The sequence below is a fragment of the Homo sapiens genome, chromosome 9, assembly GCF_000001405.40.
Source record: "Homo sapiens chromosome 9, GRCh38.p14 Primary Assembly".
Lineage (NCBI taxonomy): Eukaryota > Metazoa > Chordata > Mammalia > Primates > Hominidae > Homo > Homo sapiens.
In genome coordinates this window covers 14,106,902-14,120,081 of record NC_000009.12, presented here as the reverse complement: position 1 = coordinate 14,120,081, position 13,180 = coordinate 14,106,902, and the positions used below count along the sequence as shown (strand labels likewise).

The 13,180-nt window shown below is 34.3% G+C and overlaps 1 protein-coding gene across 32 annotated transcripts in view; it reads left to right on the top strand.

Moving 5' to 3' along the window:
• NFIB (nuclear factor I B) overlaps positions 1–13,180 on the top strand; it is a 450,235-nt gene that overhangs the window by 411,996 nt on the left and 25,059 nt on the right. For 5 of the 32 annotated variants that reach the window (NM_001369459.1, NM_001190737.2, NM_001369461.1 and 2 more), the window contains 2 exons: positions 3,736–3,874; positions 7,001–7,083. The exons of 22 other annotated variants lie outside the window; for them this stretch is intronic. In NM_001369459.1, the coding sequence (NP_001356388.1) occupies positions 3,736–3,874; positions 7,001–7,083 (222 nt within the window). Of the gene's footprint in view, positions 1–3,735; positions 3,902–7,000; positions 7,084–13,180 lie in introns of all 32 variants that reach the window. 5 more of the 32 variants (NM_001369458.1, NM_001369470.1, NM_001369460.1 and 2 more) reach the window with 2 other exon arrangements.

Below are 13,180 nucleotides of genomic sequence, written 5' to 3'. Positions count from 1 at the left end.
GGTATGTGCTAAAATAAACACACACAAAAGAACTTACAGTTGTATTTATAGACCAACTATTAGGTATTAAAATAAGCTTTGGTAATGTAAACATTCTCAGTGTTTGATGACTACTTGAATATTCTTTGCAGAGACATGACTTACATTTAATAATGAGTGACATTACTAGAAGCGTCTTTCTTTTTTTTGGAAACATTGTGCAGTGGTTTTGGGGATTCATTTTGTAAGTGTAGTGACTCATGAGCATTTCTCACTCCCCTAGACATATGGTTTCTTCTACCAAGAGGTTACTTCATAGGAATTTGGTATATGAGCATTTTCCACAATCAAGTAGACAGTCTTTGTGCCAGACCTGGGGCTATCAATAATTGTAATATCTAAAACATGTAATGTAATTTTGATATTAGGATCTGATATTTAGCTTTGCTGCTTTACCTCTAAGACTCCTGTCCACTTATTATACCTTTTAATATTTTGGAGAATTTTCACAAACATTCCGTCATTACTACGGTGGAACATTCCTGAAATGCTAGTAAATAGTGTGTGTCTATCAATTTAAATTAGCAAAGAAAGGTGAGAAAAAAATCCCTTTGGTCTTAATTTGTTAAAATGAAACAAAATGGTCCTTTCTGAACTTTTAATTTAGAATAACAACGCATCCAGGACCCTTTGGGTTACTTAAAAAGTTATCATTACTTTTAGTTTGACTGACTGAGATATTAAACTCAATATTGAATTTTGAATTTGAAGTTAAAATTATTATTTGTATTTTAGAAGAAAATGTTAAAATGTTGTAGCACTTTTCATGACTGAAGTACTAAAGACAGCTAAGTGAGAGTGGGATCTTAGTATATCGTTTAGAAATAAAATTTGTTGTCAGCTCATGGATTCAGAAGTCTCAGTTCCATAGAGCATTTTGCTAGACTCAGCTGGGAACAGTGCACACAAGGTCTGATTTTAATTTGTGTAGAATTTCCATGAATAACAAAGTCTAATTAAGACATCCATTAAAAGTCCTTAACGTTAATTCAGTGTGGAAAATCTTAGAGTTCCATTGGATTTTTTTTTTAACTGATGTCTTAATTAGGCACTGTTAGGGGAAAAATTATGCAAATTAAAATCAGGCCCTTAGTGTTACACATTTCTTTAATTATTCAGTGCTTGTTTTACGTATATTTCAATTTCTTTATAAGTTAAGAGGGCATATTAGGTGATAATCTGCCTATATTGTTCTCAGTTTTTCTTCACTTTTTCAAGATACATATCACCTTCTAAGGAAGCATATTACTCTCATCTCAAAAAAAAAAAAAAAAGAAAAAGAAAAACTAGCAACAAAAAAACTCTCAGGATTTTGTATAATAGGAACCGTGTATAAAGTAGAATAATCCTTTCCTAATGCTGTTAGCTTCACCTTCAGACAAGACATCTCTCTTTTCTATCTACAGTATGAAAGTTCATCTATTAACAGCCTTAAAAGATAGAAATTTTTAGTGTAGCTTCATCTGTTTGAACCAGTAGAAAACTGAGGAGAAAATAGCCCTCAATTCTTCTCACCCTGAGTTTTAGGAAAGTTGTCTGCATTGACTTGGGAATTCTTTCTTTGTCACCTTTATTCTTTTCAAATGAGAGAAGTGTCTACTAGTTCATGTTGTTCAATTCCAGTAGGTGAAGTTTGTAGAATGGTCAGGGTAGGATAATATATTTGGTGGCAGCATTTCCTTGAAATTATTGTCATTCTGCTCCAGACATTTTGTTCCAGGTAGGTACTTTCAGACTGTTTTGGTGAACACTGTATGTAGAAACATTTTTACCATTGAATGTACCACCAATGATAAAATGAGACCTGTCTTCTTTCTTAAGATATTTAAAGCACTTATTTCCAGTGTTCAGATAACCAGAAATGGATGGCCTGCTGTAGAAACAAACTACTTTTTCCCTTTGAAAGGAAAAATGGGTCTTTATAGTTAACTGCAGATTTTTTTTTTAAGGAACAGTGTATCTGCTTTGATTTTTAACTCCAACTCAAAACCAATTAATTTGCATTTCAAATTAGAATTCTTGGTATTTACCATTTTAGCTTTAGAAATGGAAAAACATCAGTATTCCTTCACCATTCACTTCTAGTCAGCTGTTGCTTCCCAATATTCTCCAGCACTGCACTGATTTTGATTTTTAAGATAAGCAACTGAGATGCCTTTTCCTCCCCACAGCAATTTTGAGATTAATTGCATTACTGCTGCACCAATTATAGTGAGACAGTCATGCTATTCAATGGAATATTTTGAATAAAATTAGTTTAAAGATGTAACTCTCCCATAGGTTTCCATATTGGAAAACTCTGGTCAATTTTCCTGACATCAAGTTAAATACTTAAAATTACCCATGATGAATAATCAGGATATTCAGGAAGTCCATTTTCTTTATAGAATAAATAATGTGGCCTCTGAGGAGCCTAACCGAAGACTTAGTTCATGTCTCTAAGTCACAATATTTAAGTGTTATTAGCTGTTCATCTTTTTCTCTAAATAAATGTCTACTTGTAATTTATGTGCAGATATTTAGAAAAATATTCTGCTTCATTTTTTTTTTGCCTTTAACAGTTCAGATTATAAAGACTATATACTTGCCGAGAATAGCCTCCCAGCAAATTGCGATGAACACCGTGCAGTGGAGAATTCCAACATGGGTATAATCAAAAATAACATTCTCAGTCTAGAAAAATATATTCCACTATTTCTTCAAAGAGTGTATCCTTAGGATTTTGTTTCCTACCACGGAAACTATTTTTGTACCCAGGAGCTAAAACTCAGATAGTAACATCTTTTCTATCATTGCCCAGGGGATTTTCTCAGTTAATTCTCACAAATGTCAACAAGAAATGTTTTGTGTAACTCTCCATGCACCACCATGGATGTAAGAGTAACTCAAATAACAATGCTCATTTGCTTGTCCTCTGCTTCCCCTCAGTACAGTTTAATTTACTTTGGAAATCTTTTATTTGTAGGTGTAAGGACAAACGTAGCTCAGCATTTTATATCATTGTATGACCTCTGAAATTTTAGATGCTTTACATCTTATTCTATCTTCTTGTATTAGTAAATCATCAAAAGTTGACCATAGATCTCGGAATCTAAATTGCCTAATGTGTGCATCTCAGCACACCTGTGTGTAAGAGAGCTAGAGTTTTGTATGCAGGAGAATGGTTCTTGACTGTAAATGATGAAAATTCCAGAATTCGTTGTATTTGATCTCCTAGATATTTTTGTGTCCTTTGTTTCAGTGATATCATCATGTAGGTGAAAATTGTGTTCTAAAAGCCAAAACTGACTCATTATAGAAAATGAAGAGCAGAGAATAAGGAAGCATTGGGTTCCAACTGTAGCTAGTTCAGTAAGGAATTCCATTTTAGCCTTTGGGCTAAGCATTTAAGTCTGCACTTGAGTTTCTTGGCCTACTACATGAAAGGATCAAGTCTACCTGGCTCTCAGGGGTGCTGTAAAGAGGAATTCACCTATACCATGACGTGCTTTGAAGATGAAAACCTTCTTTGAAATGCTGCTGCTCCTTATTACTACCAACCATTGACTGGCCTCTCCGACTCCGACTCGAGAGGGCCTGTGTGGCGCCTATGCGCAGTGTGCTGGATCCACACAGTCGTGTGTGCTGAGTGGACTTGTTGAACAAGATGACTGCCTTTTGGATTGCTTCACCCGGCATTCTGTTTTTGTTTTGTAGCCTAACGGCAGTGGTCAAGTAGTAGGGAAAGTGCCTGGCCATTTCACTCCTGTCTTGGCACCCTCTCCCCATCCCAGTGCAGTGCGACCTGTGACCCTGAGCATGACAGATACTAAACCCATCACTACATCCACTGAAGGTGAGGCAGCTTCACCTACAGCAACCAGTAAGTATTTCCATAGGAAATGAGAAATGTCCATCAGAGGCACCATTGGATATCTGATCCAAGGTGGAAAACACGGCAATTTTTCCAGCTACCTGACCAGATGGAGATTTCTCATTTAAGTGGAGCTAGCAGGCATGGATGTGGCCCTGCTATCACAGGCTCTCTCTTCTCAAATTCCAGTCAGTGAATCATATTTGAAAAGGGAGAAGCTCACTTGTTTAAGTTAACAGCTATAACAAAAATAATAAGTCATGCCTGCTTGTTCAAGGTATACATTGAAATTGCACTGAGTAACATAACGCAGAATACAAAGTTTTCGTATCACCCAAAGAGAGATTAGGTAATTGGTACTTATTGGAGCATTCCTATAGAAATCAAGCCCCTTCACAAAGCAGATGGAATCAGTGCCTCTGTAAGGTAATTGCATGTTTACATCATTGTAGGTTATGTCATTGTTAAAAACAGTCGCATAAGGTTGGGAACAGATGAGGACATTTCAAAACTTAGTATTAGGCACATGTAAGCTACCTGTACTTTCACTATCTGCAAGCTTTTTTTTTAAAACCTTTTGATTATTTTGCTTATCATTGGTACATCAAATACTGTGCTTTTTAGTGTGGCCATAACATTTAAATGTCAGAGATTTAGCCAGTGAACCTTCCTAACACGTACCAATAAGCCGCATCATTCCTTTGTTTTTTCATGTAAAATACTTAGAAGTATAGAAGAAATTAATTTTGAGGTGGTTTCACCCAACTGTCAGCTTCTTAGTACTGGAGCTGGAATGTACAAATTGGTGAAGTAGAATGGATAAAGCTATCGAATTGGTGGAATTAGCATGCACCTCACCAATTATACAGATATCTTCAATTCAAACCTTTTTTTTTTCTTTCTTAGAGCAAGAAAATCCCCATGATCTTGAAATTTCCATGTGAATCAGAGACAATCAGAGGCATGCACCACTCATTCTTTCTCAGCCATTGGAAAGATGCTCTTTTTTTTTTATGGTTTCTGAAAGACTAGGAAGGAACCCTATAAGAAAAATGGACAATACTTTGTACAGTGAATTCAGCATTTCTTTCTCAAAATTCATGAGCCCCGTCAATTAATAAGTTCCTATAGGCTTGTAATACCCATCAGTAATTCTTAATGCTTAGAATACTTCCCTGAATGCACAGATGGATGCGACCTACTCAGGAAAAACTAAAAATTATTTTGTTCTAGAGGTTTGCTATGTGCATTACAGTCACCAAAACACTAAGTACTCATTTTAAAAGTGGATGTCTTCACATCTTTGAGCAAACAATGTCAGCAATTTAAATAAAAGCACACAGAAAACAAAGATTTTTTTTTAAGTAGTTGAAAGATTATCACAGGATAAATGGTCAAAACCAAGTTCTAGAAACTCTGATGCCTACTCTTGTGGTGTTATTAATAGAAGAGATTCAGGAGAGGATCAGACCCAAATGATCACAGTTCACTTATAGGAGTACCCTCAGCCTGTTTGTTAATGAATTGTTTTTATACTTACATACAGGTTGTTCAAAAAGGGATCTGATTTGACTAGTAAAATTACAAAATATTCAAAAGGAGTATCTTGGTTGTATAAAGATGGCTGCATCAGTCCATTTTCCACTCCTACATAAAAGAAACATAGTGAGTAGTTTTTCTTTCCTATAAACAAGCTTGTAGCTCCAGCTTCTTAGGCACCACCAGTAATAAAAAACTGGTCATTGAATTGATATAGTACTATGGTCAAAGAAAACACAGAAGCCAAGGAAGGCTCTTTCTCATAGTTGAAAAGAAAAAGCAGCATAGATTTGGTGCTCTTCTGTAAGGGTGAGGCTCATCTCCGGCTGTCTGTGAGGTGTGGTGAATTCCAGAGGCTTGGAGATTGAGTAGGGGTCACTGGTTGCTGATGGCTGCCTTGCATGTCCCCTTATTCAGGAGCAATTAAAATATGAATTGTGAGCATCTTCACTGTTTTTAAAAAGTTGACCTAAAAAAGCTTCCATGGATCAAATTCTGCAGTCCTTTAAGTGAACAAGGCAGAATTAATATATTGGTTTTAGAAAGCCAGTTCATTTAAAATGAAGCCTGGATTCCTCATTAATCTGGTGGTTTTAAACCAAACAGTGTAGCTTTCTTCAGAACAATAAAGGTAATATATGGTAATATGGAGCAGTGGGATTGCCTAGTTCTGGGAAGATACCTCAGTCCTTTCCTTGTGAAAAGTAACAAAAGTCTTTAGGAGTAGCTCCCTATTCATTTTTTTTTTGTGTGTGTGAAAAATTTACTCTATACCAAAAAGCAAAAAGCAGTTGTACAAAAAGTACTTGCAAATGAGACTATAACAATGTAAGGAATAGTCACCATATATACTTACTACCTAGTGGCCAACTATTTAAAGGTGCATCAGCTTTCTTCCTGGATCAGTTACAAGTAATTGATTTTTGTATGTGTGCTTATGGGAAGTACTTTTTTTCAAAAACATTCCTATCAGACTTGAGGCCATTTTCACAGGTAAAATACCGAGCTGATTCATTCTACATGATACAGGCTTCTCCTTCATGATAGTAAGATTTGATTTCCTTTTTAGCAAAACTTTTAAGAAAGACATTTTCCATCCCATATCATTAAGAACATCTGCTTAAATTCCATCATTAAAAGCTGTCACTTTTTCCTGGCGGACTTTCAGTCTGCTTTACATTTAGAATCATATACCATCATTGATTATTTTATATTAGACAACTACTATCTGGTGAAAAAGTACGTCTAGGAACAGGGCCCTTCTATTTATCCAATCCTTAGTACCTCCACAGGACAGTTACTAGAGCATGTAAGTGTGAGACACCCACACTGAAGTATGAGATCTGCTTTACTGGATAGATTTTTTAGGGGGAATAAACTAGTTGATTTGAAGTCAATTATTATTTCTTTTCTATCACTTGGTGTTCACTCAGACAAAAGAGAAGAGAAATGAAGACACTTTTTTTTTTTGGTTGCAAATCCCACTTCTCTGGGTTTCTTATACATGGACAGGGTGTTCGTTCTGATAGTTCACAATTTTTATCTTTGTTTTTGTTCTTCCTTAATCAGCCTACACAGCCTCAGGCACATCTCAAGCCAATCGATATGTGGGACTAAGCCCAAGAGACCCATCCTTCCTACATCAGCAACAGGTGGGCAAGTTTCACCCAGGTGTGACGGTGTAGCCACGCTTTCGCTTCCGTGCTTCTCCATGTTGCCTCTCAGATCCGGACTCAGAAGGGGGCTCCCGGGGCTTCTGAGACCAAAACTGATCATTTCATTTCCCAGAATTTTTTCTCATTGATCCTTTGTTTCTCACCTCTTTGAGTAGAGTTTCTCAAATTGGCTCATGACCTTTTCCATCTCTGTAGCATATATTGATAACATCCATGAGTAATAGTGTTTCAGCCAAAGTGTATTTTTCTCAGTCTCATTGGCTATTGAGAACTTACAGACTATAGCTTTCAAAGACAAAAACTGCAAACTGTTTTAAAGCCAACTAGAATAGAAGCAGTATATAATTCGAGTTTTTGAGTGATTTCTTATTTTCCAGATGTTTTGCTCCTCACATTTGTATTTTAGTCCAAGACGATGAGTTACGAAGTTAAAATCTCAGGCGACACTTCATTCCTATTATTTTAATAGCTTTAAATTGGTTTACTGATTTCAGATGTGATAAAACACTTTTTTTTGGTTCTGCTTTCTTACATCATTTATGTTTCTAGTAGCATTTTAAATTTCACATCTCATTAATGCTGTAAATTTAATGCAAATGAAGTGTTTACCCAAACTGTGAAAACATACAGCCAGGATTAATGGTGGCTTATAAACAGATCAGCCACAGTCAAAAGCATGGACCATACCAATGTAGAAATCCCACGATTCTAGTTACAGGATAAGAGACGTAATTCTAAACAGTTCCGAATTTAAATATATTTTATGATGCATATGTTTGCTGCTCTCAAGTTTTGATAGCAGAGCAGTTTGAAATTAACAGTATGCAAAATATTACATAGGGGAAAATTAGGCTATAATAAATAATAAAGAGCTGGTGTTAACTAACTCGCTCTTTATTTATAAGTTGCCTGTGCATATATATGACTTTTTGTGTAGGTAGTAAGATACTTTTGCCCACTTACTTCATTCTTGATCTGTTCACCTCACATACCCTTGTTGTGACCTACCTCAACTGTGCTTGGTGTGGAGTTCTCAAGTCCTTTCCAGTTGCAGCCCAAGGGGGCAGACTGCATATTAGAGGTCACCACATGCAGAGCTCAGAGAAAATCATAAAGATGATAGCTTATTCAGAATACTTGATGTTTTGCCAGGTTTAAAAAAAGCAAAACAAAACAAACCAAAAGAGTGAGAACTAACTGAAAACATCTGTACACAGTTATGAAAATACCAAATAATAATAATTAGTGGTTTTGCCAGCCATTGGCTTCTCAACATAATTCTCTGGAATGTTGCTTTTTTTTCACCTCTAAAATTGTTATAACACGAAATGAGTTATAATTACTAGAATATGGTTCTATTTGACAGATGTATGTGTCCATTGTGTTTTTTAAAAAACATATGCAGGATGTATAAGTTTAGAAACTTGTTCTTTTAAAAATCATTACACATATTCTCAGGAATATTTTTCTCATGGGATTTGCATTATTCTTTATGACACATCTCTAATTTCCAGTTAATTTTTAATGCATAAAACATGCCTCCATTATTTAAACCTTTAGCCCCAAATGCTAGTTAGAATACTCTGACCAATTCCATGTATTTGGAGGCAGCCTTCCTCCTCCACTACCCTAACCTATGGCAGCTTTAATTTTCTTATCCCTTATGATAAATGTCGAAGCCTCATGTAATTATGATTACTAAAGTCCATTAACATAAGAATTACTTCTTTCACATATCTAAAAATATATCAAGAAAACTTAGCAAGCATCATGAAAATATGAATTTTAATGTAGATAGCATTCTGGCACATGATATATTTTAAAAACTATGAGTTCTAGAACTATAAACTATTTTAAAATCAAAGAAGACAGCCACTTATTTAAGTGGACAACATTGAATCGAGACCACTTACAATGTGAATACGTTTTGTTCAGTCAACTATAGTTAATACTTATGGGATACATGATATATATTAATCTTTGGAAGCAAAAAAAAGTTCTTTATAGCTGAAAATGTTAAATACCATGCAGACAGATAATTTGTCCTCTATGTAATGAAAGAGTTAGTGCTGCTTTTTAATTTGAAGAAGCCCATATATGCTTTATTTTATAATGAACTCCAGTTTTGAGGCATGCAGAAAATACCTGTAAATAAATGCATATCATGCTATAGATGTATATTAGTAAACTAAGGCTAGAGTCAAAAGCCTATTCATTTTAGCCTTTCAAATTTTAAAAGAATTATAGAAATGAAGTTTTATGTTTACTATCCAGGAATAAAGAAACAGAAATAGTTTAAATGACTTCAGTAAAGATTATTCTTTCCTTCAGTAGAAATGAGATTGATTTACTGTGTCCTTTCATTACTTTACAAAGATTTAAAAGAGACCATTCTTCTAGAGGCAGTTTCTAAATGCATTTGGTTTAAAGCACTCAATGATGAATGAAAAGGAAAATCAAGGGGTACATGAAATAAAGGTAATCAATCATGTTATATTAGCTAGGAGAAATTCAAAATTAGAAAGGCAGTGCTTTAGTCTGAGAGGGTTCTTTTAAACATTCCCTATAGCCTTTAATATACATGATCCTTTAAGAATAAATATCGTCACCAGGTACATTCTTCAGTTCATGGTGGCTGCTTTATAAAGATTTATCCTTTTAGGTTATGAAAAGTACTGATGTGTAGTTTTGAGTGTTGTTTTTCTTAGAAAAGAACTTTAATAGAGCCTACATAAATTAGAGTTAATGATAAATTTAAAGTGGTCATGTAATTTTGACTATTTTATAAATAATCTTTCCACAAGATGATACTACAGTGGAGTTTCCAATCTGGTCATTTTCTAATACATAAGCTTACTAGCATTATCAAATTAAGATGAAAAGCTTTCTAATGTTAAAATGAACCCTGTACTTCACCTGTAAGAGTAATACATTCATAGTGTCAAATCTGAATACTAAAAGTATACACTTTCATATCATTTACTTGGTACACAGACAATTGTTATTAGTAATTATACATCTTTGTGTTCCTTTTTATAATAATTATTGCTGATGGCATTGGTTGCTAACTGCTTGGGAATACTAGTTTATTCTGACTGGAAGAAAGTTCACCTATCACTGAAAATATATCTCATTTGAATCTAAAAAATAAATTCACATAGTCCTGGAGACTATTTCAAAAAGGTTCATGTAAACCAGTTGATAATCTGCCATTAAAAATAATCCTCTCTAATCAGTCACAATAGTCAGCACATACCAGCTGATCAGTATTTGACTTTAGACTTTTTCTTTATCTCTTAACACAATCTTGAATACTTTTCAAGTCTAGAACTAGTCTGTCTTTGGGATTATTGGTTTAGTTATTGCATTCGCTATTGGCATGGGGGAAATCTTAAAATCAGAACTTCAGTTGGAGCTTCATTCTTCTTTAACTTTTCTATTGGAAGATGGTTTTGGTGGCTTGAAGAACTCATGGGTCCTGCTTTGGCAAACTGAACTGATTAGTCTCTGCTGAGAAATGTCTTTTTATGGTTTGGAACATTTTCAGAAATGTGGAACACCCCCCCGCCCCGACTTAACTTCATAGAAGTTCAGTAAAATGCAGTATATCCTTTTCTCTCTCATACTTTATAATTCACGAACACATTGTGCAAATTCGTTATGATAGGCAATGAAGGAACCACGTTTCCCAAATTTTATCTCCCTGAGAAAATGGGAACTATCAATCAGAGTGTTGGATGTTGCTTAGGAAATATAGAAATTATTTTATAATTCAGTCTAACAATTTTAGCATGGATGAATAATAAGAGACAACTTACTTGAATTAGCACCAGTTTCTTATCTGGTCTACCTCATAGTGAGTTGCTAATTTCAGGCCTCTTTCCTTTGCTATCATAGAAAGTTTGGTAGTATTAATACAAGAGAATCTGGCTAATTTGATTATCACCATTACATTTGAGTCTAAGGTCATAATAAGAGCCTAAATTCTTACTATTGTACATCAACATATATTTAAAAATCTCATTGTAAGTTGGAAATAAAAAGTTTGCAGCTAAGAAGCTTCTTGTTTAGAAATAAAAGTTCACCATTCAAACAAGCCATTGAAGTACATATTAACCTTTGATGTATATTTGAGATTTCAACTGAATAAATTAGGAGCTCACTTTTGCCTTCCCTAAGTGAGACAATAAAGTCAAGTAAAGTCTAGTTTATAAGAAATCGGTCTTATTTTCATAATCTCAAAATTATAATCTCCTGACTATATATATATTACCTATAATAAGAGCTAATGAATCAGTGGCCTGATCAATTCAGGTCTTTGCATTACTTCTCACAGTTGCATGGATTTTATTGGTGCTTGGGCTTCAGCATGTTACATCTCTTGCATGACTATATAATGCTATTATTTGAATTTCAATTACTGGTCTAGTGTATATTTAAATTGTTTCAACACTTTTCTTATAACACTTTTGTTTTTAAAACTAGAATTTGAAAGTACTTCTCATTACACTGAAAATTTCTGTTACACAAAATGGCCTTTTTAAGAAATTACTTCTGTAGGATTTTTTTAAACTAAGATATTAGTTTAAATCTTCTTATAATATTTGTCCTGGCAAATGGCAAAGCCAAAGCTTGGTACTACCATTGGAAAGGTAGTCATTTATTAGAGGCAAGCAATTAAAAGGACACAAGTGGACTATGAACAAACTTTTCAATACAGTCAGGAAGCAGGCTATCAACACTTGGGCTGTTCTTATTGTGTCTGTTATCATAATTGACAGCTTGACGTAAAACGCTATCACATGACTTCTGGGTAGGTATGTAAGTGGATAAGAGGTCACTTTTCATGTATGCTGGCTTGAAAGGAAACACATTTAAAGGAAGTTTCAGTCGAAATAATGGCTATGCAAATGTTTAGCTCTTTGGCTAGTTCTTAAATTCAAAAAATCCTTCCATTGTCTGTCTTTTGTCATTCCCTGGTTTGTTCACTTACCTTTACTGGGAATCAAAGACTAATATCCAGATAAGCTGTTCTAATTAATGTAAAAGTAAAATTACATTTTATGTAACGTTAACTTTAATCAACAGAAACACAAGGAAAAAATTATCTTCTTTTCTGAAAATATTAACTTAGATCTCAGTTGAATCAGGGAGGTAGAGGGAATTCTGAAGGTTTTATTTACAGATATTTTAGCATTAAATATTCTTGAACTGCACATAAGGGACAGGGTAGGAAAGGAACAATGACAGGCAACTGGTGTAGTGGGTGAGAACCAGGGATTAGGAGTCAGAAGGTTTGGGTTTTAGTGTTGATGTGACAGGGCATTTCTAACCTTGGACAAGTCCTTAAACCTTGGAAAGGAAAATGAAGAGGTTGAACTACATAAGCTCCAAAGTCCCTTGAAACCTTAAAATTTACAAGTTGTAGTAGCCTCTAATTTAAAAACAAAATCTTTCATTTTCTAATACTTATCTTATGATTTATGGTTAATAATGTTTATTCTGCTCATGGACTATGCATACTCATTTAAGTTAATTCTACTTCTGCTAATTAAATTAAATATCAAGAAACATGGGTTTCAGAAATTGGCACTAGAAGTGACTTTTAAGATATGAGGATGATCTTGAGTATCTTTTTTTTTTGTTTGTTTGTTTTTTTTTGCATGTGTTGTATGTGAAACATACAACACAATTTTATTCTGACCATTTTTCTTGTTCATACCATTCCTTCAGAGGTTACATGCTATTCATCCAGAGACCATTTAATTTGCTCCATGTAGGTAATTAATATTAGCAATAAAATAAAATTCTCCTAATCCAAAGTATGAATATTGGAGTGTTAATCCTTTTAAGCATCTGTTTTCCACCGCAAAAAGAGCCTTCACCCCTTAAAAATCTGTTTCATTGAGGGTCTGGAGAAATGAAGAAACACAAGAAAACATAAAACATACCTTTCAAGATGTTCTCCTGAGGGCCATTGTAAACGTAAAAAGAAAAAAAAGTGAGAAGGTAAATTTGCCTGTGTTGATTGTTCTGTTCACAGTTTAATGGTTTATTGGTTCAGTTGAGATTT